The 16,652-nt window shown below is 40.1% G+C and overlaps 1 protein-coding gene across 13 annotated transcripts in view, besides 2 other annotated features; it reads left to right on the top strand.

Moving 5' to 3' along the window:
* The window catches only part of NR2C1 (nuclear receptor subfamily 2 group C member 1), a 53,390-nt gene that overhangs the window by 5,009 nt on the left and 31,729 nt on the right, over positions 1 to 16,652 (top strand). For 12 of the 13 annotated variants that reach the window (XM_047429495.1, XM_011538717.3, XM_006719584.3 and 9 more), the window contains exons 2-7: positions 1,219 to 1,279; positions 5,872 to 6,102; positions 8,626 to 8,704; positions 10,121 to 10,300; positions 10,732 to 10,879; positions 10,967 to 11,057. In XM_047429495.1, the coding sequence (XP_047285451.1) occupies positions 1,226 to 1,279; positions 5,872 to 6,102; positions 8,626 to 8,704; positions 10,121 to 10,300; positions 10,732 to 10,879; positions 10,967 to 11,057 (783 nt within the window). In that variant the 5' untranslated portion in view covers positions 1,219 to 1,225. Of the gene's footprint in view, positions 1 to 1,218; positions 1,280 to 5,722; positions 5,761 to 5,871; positions 6,103 to 8,625; positions 8,705 to 10,120; positions 10,301 to 10,731; positions 10,880 to 10,966; positions 11,058 to 16,652 lie in introns of all 13 variants that reach the window. The other variant, XM_006719585.3, reaches the window with a different exon arrangement.
* Positions 12,245 to 13,096: an enhancer, noted in NCBI's record as "H3K27ac-H3K4me1 hESC enhancer chr12:95449290-95450141 (GRCh37/hg19 assembly coordinates)". NCBI's record gives its function as "activates a minimal SCP1, AML or CMV promoter by ChIP-STARR-seq in naive H9 embryonic stem cells {active_cell/tissue: H9 hESC(naive)}" and the evidence as "EXISTENCE:reporter gene assay evidence [ECO:0000049][PMID:30033119]".
* Positions 13,097 to 13,949: an enhancer, noted in NCBI's record as "NANOG-H3K27ac-H3K4me1 hESC enhancer chr12:95448437-95449289 (GRCh37/hg19 assembly coordinates)". NCBI's record gives its function as "activates a minimal SCP1, AML or CMV promoter by ChIP-STARR-seq in primed H9 embryonic stem cells {active_cell/tissue: H9 hESC(primed)}" and the evidence as "EXISTENCE:reporter gene assay evidence [ECO:0000049][PMID:30033119]".

Here is a 16,652-nt window from a genome sequence, read left to right as displayed (position 1 = left end):
TTGGCCAGGCTAGTCTCAAACTCCTGATCTCCGGTAATCAGCCCACCTTGGCCTCCCATAGTGCTAGGAATACAGATGTGAGCCACCGGGGCCGGTCCAAGTGTAGATTTTCTTGTCTTTAGGCAGCATTTTAAAGTTTTATTTGCCTACCTAGATCTTGCATGTTCCTTATTGGGTTTATGCCTGAGTGTTATGGGCTGAATTCGGTTCTCCCACAAAATCATATGAATCCCAAATTCCTATGGTGATGTCCTGACCACCAGTACCTCAGAATTGAGTATATTGGAGATAAGGCCTTAAAAGAGATAATTGAGTTAAAATTAGTTCATTAGAGTGTACCGTAATCCAAAATAACTGATGTCCTTCTATGAAGAGGACACAGACACTCAGAGGGAAGACCGTATAAACATATAAAGATACATGGAGGGCTGGGGCCGGGTGCAGTGGCTCACGCCTGTAATCCCAGCACTTTGGGAGGCCGAGGCAGGCAGATCACGAGGTCAGGAGATCAAGGCCATCCTGGCTAACACAGTGAAACCCTGTCTCTACTAAAAATACAAAAAAATTAGCTGGCGTGGTGGCAGGTGCCTAGTCCCAGCTACTTGGGAGGCTGAGGCAGGAGAATGGCATGAACCCAGGAAGTGGAGCTTGCAGTGAGCCAAGATCATGCCACTGCACTCCAACCTGGGTGACAGAGCAAGACTCCATCTCAAAAAAAAAAAAAAAAAAAAGATACATGGAGGGGTGGGCATGGTGGCTTATGCTGATAATTCCAATACCAACACTTGGGAGGTCGAGACAGGAAGATTGCTTGAGCCCAGGAGTTTGAGGCCAGCCTGGGCAACACAGTGAGACCCCATCTGTACAAAAAATAAAAAATTAGCCAGGTGTGGTGGTGTATACCTGTAGTTCCAGCTACTCAGGAGGCTGAGGTGGGAGGATCACTTGAGCCCAGGAGGTTGAGACTGCAGTGAGCCGTGATGGTGCCCCCTACACTCCAGCCTGGGTGGGCCTTGTTTTAAAAAAAAAAAAAATAAAAAAGACACATGGAAAAGGCAACCCATGAATGGAAAAAAGAAACTTCAGAAAAAGCCAACCCTCCCACCTTAACTAGATTATTTTGAAGCAAATCTTAAATATCATATAGTTTTATTTGTAAATTATTTAATAAGAGTGTTTTGTGAGTTTAATTATAAAACATCTTTTTATTTTTGGCAGGTAGATCATGGCAACCATAGAAGAAATTGCACATCAAATTATTGAACAACAGATGGGAGAGGTATGTCTAGTTTACGGTTGATGCACTGGCCCACCAAACTTTTCTAATTCCTACTAAATGCATATACCAGGTTCTGGAGTTCCAGAAATAAAAGATATTCCCTAACTTAAGATAGCTTTTCAAGCTACTGAGAGATAGTTGAATAATCAGACAATTCATAGTAGAATGTGGTAAGTTCTGTGACAGGTCATTGTATCAGGTGCAATGGGAGCACAGAAGAAAATTGAAAGGAATGAAGGGAAGGAAGGAAGGAAAGAAATTAAAGAGCTGTAGAGTGAGTAGGAATGCTTTTGAGGGAATTCTTTTTAGAGGGTACAATCTGAGCCTAGTTTTGGTGGGATCAGTAGGAGTTCAGCATCAATACTGACATCTTCATTTTTTTAAATGGTTGTGTCCTATTACTTAGTAAGAGATACCACATAATTTGGAAGTTCTCAAAGTATTATCTGGGGACACTTCAGAGAATCAACCAGGTGAAGACCATTTTTATAATAATACTGAAATGTTATTTGCCTTTTCAGTATTGTTCTCTCCCAGGTATACAATGGAATTTTCTACAGACTGTGTGACATGTGATGATACTATATGATGAAATGTGTCAGCATTTATAAGGTGTACATAACTCAATGAATCATTGCTTTCCGGATGACCAGTGTATAATGTTACAAAATTATGCATGAGTGAAGGATCCATTTAAATTGCAGGATAGACCAACAGATTTTAATATAGTTTATGACTCTACATTGCTGCTAACCTTTGAAAAGCTGCCACTTGTTGAGTTGATGTAGTGTCGAACAACTTTCACAGTTTGAAAAGGGTATTAAAATATCCTTCCCCTTTTCAACCAATAAATACGAAGCTGAATTTTCTTTAACATATATACATATATGTATGTATGTATATGTATATATATGGTGAAGAAATAGGTTTCCGGCTGATTTTTTGTGGCCATTTTTTGTGCTCACGTGCCTGGCTGATGTTTTATATATTTTGTAGCAACAGGGTTTTGTCATGTTGCCCAGGCTGGTCTGGAGCTCCTGGGCTCAAGCAGTTCACTGGCCTTGGCCTTCCAAAGCGCTGGGATTACAGGCGTGAGGTGCTGTGCCCAGCCTTGTTATAACCAAAACAACATAGTCTAACAGATTAAATAAAGAAACAGATATGAGATTCCAACTTCTGTTAAACTAGATATTAAAGCAATTTGTAGAAATGTAAAACAAAGCCACTCTCTGCACTACATTTTTGTTTGTTTGGAAAATAAACTTTTTAGTCATTAAGAAATAGGTTATAATGGGTACAAAAAAATAGGATGAATGAATTAGACCTAGTATTTGATAGCACAACAGAGGGACTATAGTCAATAATTTTTTTTTTTTTTTTTGAGACAAAGTCTCGCTCTGTTGTCCAGGCTGGAGTGTAGTGGCGCTGTCTTGGCTCACTGCAACCTCCGCCTCCCTGGTTCAATGGATTCTCCTGCCTCAGCCTCCTGAGTAGCTGGGATTACAGGTGCCTGCCACCACGCCCAGCTAAATTTTGTATTTTTAATAGAGATGGGGTTTCAGCTTGTTGCTCAGGCTGGTCTCAAACTCCTGACCTCATGATCCGCCCACCTCAGCCTCCCAAAGTGCTGGGATTACAGGTGTGAGCCCCTGCGCCCAGTCAATAATAATTTAATTATGCATTTTAAAATAACTAAAAGAGTATAATTGGATTGTTTATAGCATACAGGATAAATGCTTGAGGGGATGGATGCCCTGTTTTCCATGTGATTATTATGTATTGCCTGCCTGTATCAAAACATCTCACGTACCCCAAAGATAATACACACCTATGTACCCACGAAAATTAAAAATAAATTTAAAAAAATTATGTTAACATTTAATGGGTTGTTAATTTTTAAATGAATCAACTATTTTTAAAATTTCTCTTTGAATTTCTAACTCACATGCAGAAAACCCCATCTCTACTAAAATACAAAAAATTAGACAGGTGGGGTGGCGGGCGCCTGTAATCCCAGCTACTCAGGAGGCTGAGGCAGGAGAATCGCTTGAACCTGGGAGGCAGAGGTTGCAGTGAGCCGAGATCGCACCACTGCACTCCAGCCTGGGCAACAAGAGTAAAACTCCATCTCAAAAAAAAAGCTCTTTGGAACCCTCAGTAATATTTTAGAATATAAAGAGTCCTAAAAGCTAAGAACTGTTTACATAATTTACTACTCTTCTCTATTGAAGGCTCTTTGGATTGCCCAAATATTCAATTATTACAATTATTATGCTGCAGTAATGTCCTTTTACTCATTTAAGCAGAATGTTTCAACCCAGGAGCAGTTGGACCATGAATGCGCCAAATGCTCTTCTCTAAGAAGTCAGTATGAACTATTAGTCTTTTATCCAAACAATTTGCTTTAGACATAAACTGATTAGTGAATCAGAACTTTGTTTTAAATTTTGCATAGAAAAGAATCTTGAAATAATTTCAGGAAAATAAAAATAGAAAAAATTTGGTACAGAAGGAACAGGATTGGAATTTTGGAAAATTAGAAACAAACGGACTTTGCCATTTTAAAATTGAATCAAGGAATTTAATTGGCTTAATGATGTTTAATCTGGGATATATTTGCTGAATAACAGAAACTCTCAATGCTGAAATAGTTCTGTGTATTCATGAACTTGTTCCTCCCCCCCAGATGGCAGATGGCAGTTCTGTCCTCCCAATTGCTCAAGCCAAAATTTTATAATCATCCTTGACTCTTCTTTCTTCATATTCCCCTTCAGTCTATCAGCATTATTTTGTTACTTCTCTCTTCTTAAAATAAATAAATAATATATAAATAAGTAAGTAAATCCCAATTTAATTGTTTTTCACCCCCAGCATGGCTGCTACCCTGTTCCTGGTCAGTATTTCTGCCCATATGTCATAACCAGATATTGATGGTACCTGCAGTAGTGTCCTTTCTGATCTCCCTTAATTTTACTTCTGAACTTTTTTTTTTTTTTTTTTTTGAGACAGACTCTCACTGTGTCACCCAGGCTGGAGTGCATTGGCGCGATCTCAGCTCACTGCAACCTCCGCCTCCCTGGTTCAAGTGATTCTCCTGCCTCAGCCTCCCACATAGCTCGGATTACAGGCACATGCCACCATGCCCAGCTAATTTTTTGTATTTTTAGTAGAGACGGGATTTCACTGTGTTAGCTAGGTTGGTCTCAATCTCCTGACCTCATGAGTTGCCCGCCTCGGCCTCCCAAAGTGCTGGGGTTATAGGCATGAGCCACTGTGTCCATCCCCTTTTTTTTTTTTTTTTTTTTGAGGCAGAGTCCTCTGTCGCCCAGGCTGGAGTGTAGTGGTGTAATCCCAGCTCACTGCAACCTCCGCCTCCAGGGTTCAAGCGATTCTCCTGTCTCAGCCTCCCCAGTTGCTGGGATTACAGGCACCCGCCACCATGCCCAGCTAATTTTTATATTTTAGTAGAGACAGGGTTTCGTCATTTTGGCCAGGCTGGGCTTGAACTCCTGACCTCAAGGGATCCACCTGCCTCAGCCTCCCAAAGTGCTGGGATTATGGGCGTGAGCCACTGCACCCGGCCTACTCTTGAACATTTGCAGTCTGTTCTTCACACTAAATTTAGAATGCTTTTTTTATACTTCTTTTTTTTTTTTGAGACAGGGTCTCACTGTGTTGCCCAGTCTGGTCTCGAACTCCTGGCCTCAAGTGATTCTCCTGCCTCAGCCTCCCAAGTAGCTGGGATTATAGATAATGTCACTGTGCCTGTCTGATTCCTTTTTAAAAAATAAAATCCTGTCACTCCTCTGCTCCAAACCCTTTGGTGGCTCTCCATTTCACACATTAGGAAATCTAGACTTTTGTTTGGCCTACAAAGCCCTCTGAGTCCCAGCTGTCACTCAGATCCCATATTCTACTGTAATCCCTGTCTTCCCTTCTGTCTTACTCATCATATATCTCTATTGCTGTGCCTTGTGCCTCACATGTGTCAAACACCTCCCTCCTGCCCTGGGACCTACTTATATGCTCTGTTTCCTCTACCTGGAATGTTCTTCCCCTAGGTAGTCCTAAGCCTTGGTCTGTTTCTTCACTCAGGCCTTTGCAAAAATGACACCTCCTTAGCGTGAGCTTCCCTCATTGCCCTCATTCTGTTACTGTCTCACCTTGCCTTGTTTTTCTTCATAGCATTTAGTACCGCATGACAATATTATTATTTGCTTATTTATTATCTGTCTTTCCCCACTAAAATAAAAGCTTCATGAAGGCAAAAGTTTTGTTTTATTCACTGCTACATCCCAGTATGCAGAACAGCTAATATAAATCACCCAATATATGTTTGTCTAAATGGAACATGGGAGGGAAGGGGAAGGAGGGAATCAAAATAGTGAGGTCAAAATGTTCTTACTATTGTACCTTTGTTTGCACATTTGTTTATTTCTGTAGGATAGAATTTTGTGGCAATAGAATCGGTAGTTTAAAAGGTACGTGTGTGTTATATTGAATATATATGTAATGTGCTTTTCTAAGAAGATAATTGTGTCATTAAAGAAAAATTATTGAGTTTCATTGATTATTTTTCATGATTTTGTTAGATTGTTACAGAGCAGCAAACTGGGCAGAAAATCCAGATTGTGACAGCACTTGATCATAATACCCAAGGCAAGCAGTTCATTCTGACAAATCACGACGGCTCTACTCCAAGCAAAGTCATTCTGGCCAGGCAAGATTCCACTCCGGGAAAAGTTTTCCTTACAACTCCAGATGCAGCAGGTGTCAACCAGTTATTTTTTACCACTCCTGATCTGTCTGCACAACACCTGCAGGTAAATAACTATAGAAGTGTCTTTTCCTCTTACATATATAAAAAAAAAATTTTAATCATAAGCCCTGCCATGAAGACTTTAGATCTATGTATATTCAGTAGGAAAAAAATGCATAAAATTATGTGTAACACAGTATCTACAGTGACAGCCCTCTCCTATGGGCCACTGTACTTTCCTCACACTCATATATTTTGGGGATTCTTTGTTGCATACAGTAAGATCCACTCTGGCTATTGTAGCCAGGACAACAGCCTTTAATAAAGGATACAGAGAGCTTGCAGAATTGTTAGGAAGGTTGAAGAAACAGTTCTAGGCCAGGTTTTCAAGATCGACTATTGGAGCATGCTGCAAAACTGGCTTCTAAGAGACCTCCTACTTCATAATTAGGAAATTGTCAAATCAGGAGCAGCTTTTGTAGCTGTATTTTCCAGAACCAAGCTGCCTGTGCTACAAACAGGAAGCTGCCAAATCAAGAAGTTTGGACTATAGCTGCTGGCTTCAACATTGTGCCTCCTTTGTTGTCATGCACATCTTCATGAAATAGCAAGCAGTGCAGTCATGGGCTCCTGCTTTACTCTGGAATGAAGTAGTATATGTTAACATTACATCATTTTAGTTTTCGCTAGAATAGAAAATTACACATTATTCTTCAAAGACTCAAAAACTTTTATACACCACATGCCTGTGGTTATGTCGATGTTTTCACTGCTGGTTGCTATGATTGAATACAAATATAATGTACTCTGAAGTTTGCCTTCAGAAACTTTTTGAAGGGGGTCTACTTAAAATTGGGTTCTATCTTTTATGATGAAAAACTCACGAAAGAAAATTCCTCTTTGGATTGAAAAACTCTGAATTCATAAAACACGAAATTTTGTCTGTATATCCTGATATCATCTATTCATCCAATGATATTTGTATTAGTTTTGGAAATAAAGGTAGAAAGTGGATACAGTCACAGATTTATAAGAAGTTGTTTTATCAACAAGACAAAAGTCACAAAAAAATGTATAACATTATATGTACCTTAATTTTTCTTTAAGTAGTAGACTTGATATTTTAGAATAGTTTTAGATTTGCAGAAAAACTGAGCATATAGAACAGAGTTCCCATATTACTCCCCCGTAAATACACACAGTTCCCCTATTATTAACATTTTACATTCATGATATAATTAATGAGCAATACTGATACATTGTTAACTGAAGTTTATAGGTGTTTAGACTTTCCTTAGTTTTTGCCTAATGGCTTTGTTTGTCCCAGGATCCCATCCAGGATACCTTATTGCATTGAGTTGACATGTCTCCTGAGGCTTCTCTTGGCTAGGACAGTTTCTCAGACTTTCCTTGTTTTTGATGACCTTGACAATTACGTGAGGAGTACTGGCCAGGTATATTGTAGGATGTGCCACTATTGGACTTGGTCTGATGTTTTTCTCATGAATGTGGGTAAATCCCTTAATCTCTCAATATCTCCTTCCAGACTTAGGAATAATAGATAAAAGATTAGCACCATTTGCAACAGGTAGGCTATTAAAGAGTAATACTTGCCATAGATGCTTTCATAGGACATCTAGTACCAGAAGCTTAAGTACTTACTGAAGACTGATTTTTGTGGTGATATAAGAAGAAATGATGCTATATATTACATAGTAAGGGGCAGTCATTTTAAGAACCATTTAAAGTTCATAAAATCAGAAGTATTCCTGGAGGAATTCAAATGCCATTCCATTTTCTTTAATTGAATTTATTTGTTCACATTTCAAGATTGAAAGAAAATGATGAAAAGGTTGAAAGATAAACCTAAAGGAAGAAACTAGTTTGCTGTTTTTTGTTTTGTTTTGTTTTGTTTTTGAGATGGAGTCTCGTTCTGTCTCCCAGGCCAAAGTGCAGTGGTGCAGTCTCGGCTCACTGCAACCTCTGCCGCCTGGGTTCAAGCGATTCTCCTGCCTCAGCCTCCCAAGTAGCTGGGATTACAGGCACTCTCCACCACACCCAGCTAATTTTTTGTATTTTTAGTACAGACAGGGTTTCACCACGTAGGCCAGGCTGGTCTTGAACTTCTGACCTCAGGTGATCTGCCCGCCTCAGCCTCCCAAAGTGCTGGGATTACAGGCGTGAGCCACCGCACCCAGCCTTTTTTTGTTTTTTAAAGAAGAAACTAGTTTCCTTTGCCAGTATCTTATTAGCTGTGCCTAGTGATGAGCTTTTTAAGTCCATACCTTTGTATAGCGAGCACATCTGCATGATTATAATTACCTCAAGGAAATTTATTTATAGCCCCTTTTCTATTTAAAAGGTTTAGAGTTATCTCTTTATGCCATTATAAGCTTATTTTTGTCGTCATTACATGTGGAAAGGTTCTGAGCTCTTCATAGAGTACAAAGTTTAAAAATAACTTGTGAAAAAGAAAGCAACAAAGCAAGACCAACTGAATGTTCTTTAATTTTTTTAATAGAATGAGTGCTGTTGAGTAACAACAGGTTTTCGTTTTTGTTTTCTTTTTTTTTTTTTTTTTTTTTAGCTCCTAACAGATAATTCTCCAGACCAAGGACCAAATAAGGTTTTTGATCTTTGCGTAGTATGTGGAGACAAAGCATCAGGTAACATTAAGAATAACCTCCTAAAAACAGAAAAAAAAAATAACCTCCTATATGTGTCGTGTTGTTGAAATAACTACCACACTACCATGTTTCTTCTACTAAAAGTAAGAAGAGAAATAAAGGAGTATGTCGTTTTTATGGTTCATATTTGTAGCCTATAACATTTAACTAATTTTTTCCCAGAGTTCTTTGTTTGTGATATAGAGTCTCACTGTTGCTCCGGCTGGAATGCAGTGGCGTGATCTCAGCTCACTGCAGCCTCTACCTCCTGGATTCAAGAAATTCTCCTGCCTCGGCCTCCCAAGGAGCTGGGGCTAAGGTGCATGCCAGCACGCATGGCTAATTTTTGTATTTTTATTGGAAATGGAGTTTCACCATGTTGGCCAGGCTGGTCTCAAACTCGTGACCTCAGGTGATCCACCCTCCCCTCCTTGGCCTCCCAAAGTGCTGGGATTACAGGTGTAAGCCCCCATGCCCGGTCCCAAAGTTCTTTATTCACTTATATTTTTTAACTTCAGTGCAATTTAATATGATTTGTAATGAAATAAAATGCATATTTCACTTTTGAAAGTGAACATGTAAAAAAAAAATTTTTTTTTTTTTTGAGATGGAGTCTTGCGCTGTCACCCTGACTGTAGTGCAGTGGTGCAATCTCGGCTCACTGCAACCTCTGCCTCCTGGGTTCAAGCAATTCTCCTGCCTCGGCCTTCTGAGTAGCTGGGACTACAGGCGTGTGCCACCATGCCCTGCTAATTTTTGTATTTTCAGTAGAGACGGGCTTTTGCCATGTTGGCCATGCTGGTCTTGAACTCCTGACCTCAAGTGATCCACCTGCCTTGGCCTCCCAAAGTGCTAGGATTACAGGCGTGAGTTACCACGCCCAGCTGTAGAAACATTTTTTAATGTGAAAACTAGAAATTTTGGCAAAGGAATCATTTAAAAATAATGACTTCTGATCTTTAATAATATATTACATTAGGCCAGGTGAGATGGCTCATGCCTGTAATCCCAGCACTTTGGGAGTGGAGGCAGGAGGATCGCTTGAGGCCAGGAGTTCAAGACCAGCCTGGGCAAAATGGCAAGACTGCCTCTACAAAAAAAAATAATAATAAAACTGGTCGGGTGTGGTGGCGCAAGCCTGTAGTCCCAGCTAGTTGGGGATATCCCTTGAGTCCAGTAGTTCGAGACTGCAGTGAACTGTGATCGCACCATTACACTTCAGCCTGGGCCACAGAGCGAGATCCCGTCTCTAAAAAAGTTATGATAAATAAAAATAACTTCTAAAAATGTTTTTCATGTCAGAAGCTCAAAAATCAGTTTCATCTTATATGTTGTTTAAAGGGAAGAAATTGGCTTATGTCATTTCTGTTCTGAAATAATGTGACTTTTATATTTTCTTAAACATTTTCTCTCTAGGACGTCATTATGGAGCAGTAACTTGTGAAGGCTGCAAAGGATTTTTTAAAAGAAGCATCCGAAAAAATTTAGTATATTCATGTCGAGGATCAAAGGATTGTATTATTAATAAGCACCACCGAAACCGCTGTCAATACTGCAGGTTACAGAGATGTATTGCGTTTGGAATGAAGCAAGACTGTATGTATTAGCTTTTAAGGAGAAAATACTTTTTAAAGATTCCAGCAAACTACAAGAGTATTGAAATTAACAAAATATGTCAAATATGTATACTTTTTAGTTTACAGTTTTCCAACTAAAAATATAAGAATACAGACCTACGTATGTACTTTTTTATTTATTCAACTAATATTTATTGAATACCTGTGTAAAAAGCACGTATTTGTAGTTTGTGTTTGGCAAAAAGAATGAGAGATGCAAATTGGTTTGTTTTACTAATCTAAAGCAACTTTGTTGAACTTGCACATAATTTCTAAAGATTGATGGTTATCTTTGGAGTTTAGTATGGTAGCCATGTCTCCTATTAGCAGCATTAAGCTTACCTACAGCTTACATTTCTAATTGTCTGTAAATCCTATATTGTGATATAATAGTTTAACACATTTTTGTAGCTGTCCAATGTGAAAGAAAACCCATTGAAGTATCACGAGAAAAATCTTCCAACTGTGCCGCTTCAACAGAAAAAATCTATATCCGAAAGGACCTTCGTAGCCCATTAACTGCAACTCCAACTTTTGTAACAGATAGTGAAAGTACAAGGTAAAGTAAAACAGACACTGAGTAGCTGGTCATTTTGTTTTTCTTCCCAATGAAACTCAGGCCAAAATTTGTGCTGATTTGTTACAGGTCAACAGGACTGTTAGATTCAGGAATGTTCATGAATATTCATCCATCTGGAGTAAAAACTGAGTCAGCTGTGCTGATGACATCAGATAAGGTGTGTTTAGTACAATTTAAAGCTTAGATAATTTTAAGCATTTTAAAATGTTTTCTAATCACTTCCTTTGCTTTGGTAAATTGCTTTGTTCTTAAATATTCCATATTACAAGTTGCCTTTTTTTTTTTAATATAAATTAGAAATGTTCGGCTGGGCACAGTGGCTCACATCTGTAATCCCAGCACTTTGGGAGGCCGAGGCACATGGATCGCTTGAGGTCAGAAGTTCAAGACCAGCCTGACCAACATGGAGAAACCCCGTCTCCAGTAAAAATGGAAAAATTAACTGGGCGTGGTGGCGCATGCCTGTAATCCCAGCTACTCGGGAGGCTGAGGCAGGAGAATCGCTTGAACCCGGTAGGTGGAGGTTGCAGTGAGCCGAGATAGTGCCATTGCACTCCCGCCTGGGCAACAAGAGCGAAACTCTGTCTCAAAAAAAAAAAAAAAAAAAAAAATCAGAAATGTTCATAATTTCACTAGGATGATTATCCCTTCAACATGAAAGCAACAAACACGTACTCTTCCCTCATCTTGAAATACGAGTCCTCAGTAAGACATTTATTATAGGTGTAAAAGTCTTTTTTTTTTTTTTTTTGAGATGGAGTCTCACTCTGTTGCCGAGGCTAGAGTGCAGTGGCACAGTCTCGGCTCACTGCAAGCTCCGCTTCCCGGGTTCCCGCCATTCTCCTGCCTCAGCCTCCTGAATAGCTGGGACTACAGGCACCTGCCACCACACCCAGCTAATTTTTTTGTATTTTTAGTAGAGACGGGGTTTCACCTTGTTAGCCAGGATGGTCTCGATCGCCTGACCTCGTGATCCACCCGCCTTGGCCTCCCAAAGTGCTGGGATTACAGGCGTGAGCCAGCACGCCCAGCCGTACAATTCTTAATATTTCTTTTATGCTCCCTTACAGATTTGTTAGTGCCAAAATACTTTTTTTATTTTTTAGTGCCAAAATACTTAAAATATTTCAGGTAAAAGGAAATTCTTAGCTCACCTCCATCAAAATATTTACTTGAGTCAAGAGTAGGAATAGGACTGCAAGAGCTCTCCTTTTATGTATCCAAGTCATCCAGTTCTCTTAGAGATTGGAGCAGCTCTATGTTAGACCAAGGGTCTAAAGGAAAAACAGTTTGTTTATTTAAATTGAACATGAAGAGTTTCTGTACTTGTCAGAAGCCCTTTGGGAGAACAAGAAGCAAAAATTTCTCCTGAAAACTCATATCTGAAAACAGATTTTAGGAAGCCTATGATCAGGGTTTCTCTCAACCATGTTTGTTTTTTAAACAGGGTCCCCTCTTGTCACCCAAGCTGGGGGTACGGTGGTGGCACAGTAATGGCTTGCTGCAGCCTCGTCCTCTCAGGCTCCAGGGATCCTCTCACCTCAGCCTCCCAAGAAGCTAGGGCTGCAGGCACGTGACACTGTGCCTGGCTAATTTTTCCTATTTTTGTAGAGACCGAGTTTCATTGTGTTACCCAGCTGGTCTCGAACTCCTGGGCTCAAGTGACCCTCCCACCTCAGCCTTCCAGATTGCTGGGGTTATGTGCATGAGCCTCCCTACCTAGCTGGGATCTGATTTTTTTTTTTTTTTTTTTTTTTGAGACGGAGTCTTGCTCTGTTACCCCGTCTGGAGTGCAGTGTCCCGATCTCGGCTCACTGCAGCCTCCGCCTCCTGGGTTCACGCCATTCTCCTGCCTCAGCCTCCCAAGTAGCTGGGATTACAGGCGCCCGCCACCACGCCCGGCTAATTTTTTGTATTTTTAGTAGAGACAGGGTTTCACCATGTTAGCCAGGATGGTCTCAATCGCCTGACCTCATGATCCGCCTGCCTCAGCCTCCCAGAGTGCTGGGATTACAGGCGTGAGCCACTGCGCCCGGCCGGGATCTGATTTTATATAACCTATAAGATTATTTGTCCTGTTTATGCAAGATTTGTTATATATTTGTCACTTGATGCTTTAAGGCGCTCTAAATACTTAGGCTCGGAAATCAAATTTCATCTACCACTTACTAGCTATATAACATTAGGCAAGTTATTTGACCTCTTAGTGCCTTACTTTCTCATCTGTAAAATAAGAGTAATAAAAGTATCTTACAGTTTGGGCTTTAGCATGTAATTGCTAGGTGAGGCAGTGGCCTCTTGCCATATATTTTGGAAAACTTCACTTAGCCCTGTCTGCATGATTCAAGGTTAGAATGATAATTGGTTTTACTGACATATTAACTCCTTTAAGAAAGGAAGGGAACTAGGTTTCCTTGACAAACTACTCTGCCCAGACACTGTGCTCTCTTGTATATCTTTGTATTAAATTGTTATGACAACCGTATGGTAAGCTTCTCTGATAAATTGCCCCAAAACTCTGAAGTCACAAGATGAAAGTTTTCTATGTTGGCTAAGAGCCTTTAGGGGCAAAAACTTAAGAATCTAGTTAGAAAGAAAAATTCTTCTGCCTTGGGATCCTGTTGATCGGTGACCTTACCCCCAACCCTGTGCTCTCTGAAACATGTGCTGTGTCCACTCAGGGTTAAATGGATTAAGGGCGGTGCAAGATGTGCTTTGTTAAACAGATGCTTGAAGGCAGCATGCTCGTTAAGAATCATCACCACTCCCTAATCTCAAGTACCCAGGGACACAAACACTGTGGAACGCTGCAGGGTCCTCTGCCTAGGAAAACTAGAGACCTTTGTTCACTTGTTTATCTGCTGACCGTCCCTCCACTATTGTCCTATGACCCTGCCAAATCCCCCTCTGCGAGAAACACCTAAGAATGATCAATAAAAAAATAAAATAAAATAAAAAAGAATCTAGTTAGATATGTTGCTAGGTAGAAGAGACTATATAAGCTTCTAAGTTTTAGGTGAATATTAAAGCATTTAAAATTGTAACTAATGTACTTTTTATTCAAATATAAGAAAATTTCTTGGGGCAGTGCTTAACATTATGGGCTTTTCTGGGCACAGTGGCTCAAGCCTGTATCCCAGCAGCTCAGGAGGCTGAAGTTGAAGAGTTCCTTGAGGCTAGGAATTTGAGACCAACCTGGGAAACATAGCGAGACTCTGTCTCTAAAAATAAAAAAATTACCCAGGCATGGTGGTACATGCCTGTAGTCCCAGCTGTTTGGGAGGCTGAGGCAGAGGATTACTTGAGCCTAGGAGTTCAAAGCTGCAGTGAGCTATGATCCTGGCACTGCACTCCAGTCTAGGCGATAGGAGTGTCTCTAAAAAACACTGTCTCTTAAAAAAAAAAAAAAGCATAGACTTTGGCAGTCAGCCAGTCCCACCTCTACTATTTGGGTCATTTTTCTGGTTAGCAATAGAGGAATGATGATTTCTATTTCAGAGTTGTTATGGGAGTTAAATAAAATGCATATATAGGTATTAATTATGTAAGAACATGATAACTGGTAGGGTTTTCAGTAAATGATTTTTGGACCATTGATTAATTTGGAGAAGGCACAAAAATTATTTTATTCTACTGATTCACCAAAATCTCACAGAAACTGATTGTTATAATAAATGAAACATCATGGGAACATATGTGTTATTTTAGTATTAAGAACACCAAAAAGGGCCAGGCACAGTGGCTCACGCCTGTAATCCCAGCACTTTGGGAGGCCAAGGCGGGCAGATCACGAGGTCAGGAGATCGAGACTGTCCTGGCTAACACAGTGAAACCCTGTCTCTACCAAAAATACAAAAAATTAGCTGGGCATGGTGGCGGGCGCCTGTAGTCCCAGCTCCTCAGGAGGCTGAGGCAGGAGAATGGCGTGAACCCAGGAGGTGGAGCTTGCAGCGAGCCGAGATCGCACCACTGCACTCCAGCCTGGCGACAGAGTAAGACTCTGTCTCAAAAAAAAAAAAAAAAAAAAACACCAAAAAGAAAAAACCATGAAGAAAGTATTAATAAGAAGATACCATTAAGGGGTTGGCCCAGTAGGCCATAGAAGGCAACTTAAAAGGCTTCTCATTAGGTTAGGATGGGAAAGGATTTACAAAAGAATTTAATAAATTTAAATCAAATATATGAAAATCTATGAATTAAAAATTATACTCAGAAAAACTCATGTATCATAATTAGAAATTGCTAGGATATCAGCTTCTTGCTCTGAAAATTGATAACAAAGTAAAAGAAAAATAAAGCACTTACCTGCCTTTCCCGTACAAATTATATTTCTGAGTTGTCAAAAGAGTTGAGAGAAAATTCTTTTTTATAAAAGAATTGTAGCTAATGCACAAGTAATATACACATTTTCAACAAACATTAAAAAAATGAAGACAAGCCGGGCACGGTGGCTCATGTCTGTAATCCCAGCACTTTGGGAAACTGTGGCAGGTAGATCACTTGAGCCCAGGAGTTTGAGACCAGCCTGGGCAACATGATGAAACCCCATCTCTACAAAAAATTAAAAAATTAGCTGGACATGGTGGTATGCGCCCGTAGTCAGGAGGCTGAGGTGGGAAGATCACTTGAACCCAGGAGTTGGAGGTTGCAGTGAGCTGAGATCACACCACTGCACTCCAGCCTGGGTGACAGAGTGAGACTCTGTCTCAAAAAAAAAAAGACAAATAGATCAGTATCTTACCTATATAAAGAGAGTTTTCAACTCCAGTGACAAAAAAGTGAAGAGAATAATGGGTAACTGATCTATTTCTTTTAATGTTTGTGTTTAACACAGTGCCTTTTAACACATTTAATTAACACAATGTTTGGCAAAAGTTGGCATCCTAGGAAGTCTGTTCAACAATTCATTTGCCATTTTTTCCCCCGCTCTTCACTAGTATTCTTCATATTCCATACAAGTTTATAGTTTGTATAGTAAGTTTTAGAAATTGTACTCAGGAGGCTGAGGCAGGGAGGATCACTTGATACCAGGAGTTCAAGACCAGCCTGGGCAACACAGCAAGACCCCATTTCTAAAAATGAAAAAACAACCCAGGCATAGCAGTGCACACCTGTAGGATCAGCTGCTCAGGAGGCTGAGGTAGGAGGATCAGTGAGCCCAGAAATTTAAGGATGCAGTGATCTGTGGTCGTGCCACTGTACTCCAGTCTGGGTGACAAAGGGAGACCTTGTCTCTTAAAAAAAAGTAACATATACGGCCGGGCGCGATGGCCCACGCCTGTAATCCCAACACTTTGGGAGGCCGAGGCAGGCAGATCATGAGGTCAGGAGATCAAGACCATCTTAGCCAACATGGTGAAACCCTGTCTCAGCTAAAATACAAAAAATTAGTTGGGCATGGTAGCATGTGCCTGTAATCCCAGCTACTTGGGAGGCTGAGGCAGGGGAATCGCTTGAACCTGGCAGGCAGAGGTTGCGGTGAGCTGAGATCATGCCACGGCACTCCAGCCTAGTGACAGAGTGAGACTCCATCTCCCAAAAAAAAAAAAAACAAAGTAACATATAAACATTTCTTAAGAAATACACTTGATGTTTTTAAACTTGTATTTTCCTCAGTAAATTTCTGAAAGCTCAGCCCTTTAACTTTCCAGGTTTCATTTATCATACTGTTCTTTTGTTGGCATATCATAATCTATAATTGGATATTTCAGATTGAAAAAAATAGTGATACCAATTCACAGAATTTTAATAC

This window comes from Homo sapiens, chromosome 12 (assembly GCF_000001405.40).
Source record: "Homo sapiens chromosome 12, GRCh38.p14 Primary Assembly".
NCBI classification, from domain to species: domain Eukaryota; kingdom Metazoa; phylum Chordata; class Mammalia; order Primates; family Hominidae; genus Homo; species Homo sapiens.
The sequence above is the reverse complement of the archived record's forward strand: the minus strand, read 5'-3'. Positions and strand labels throughout refer to the sequence as shown.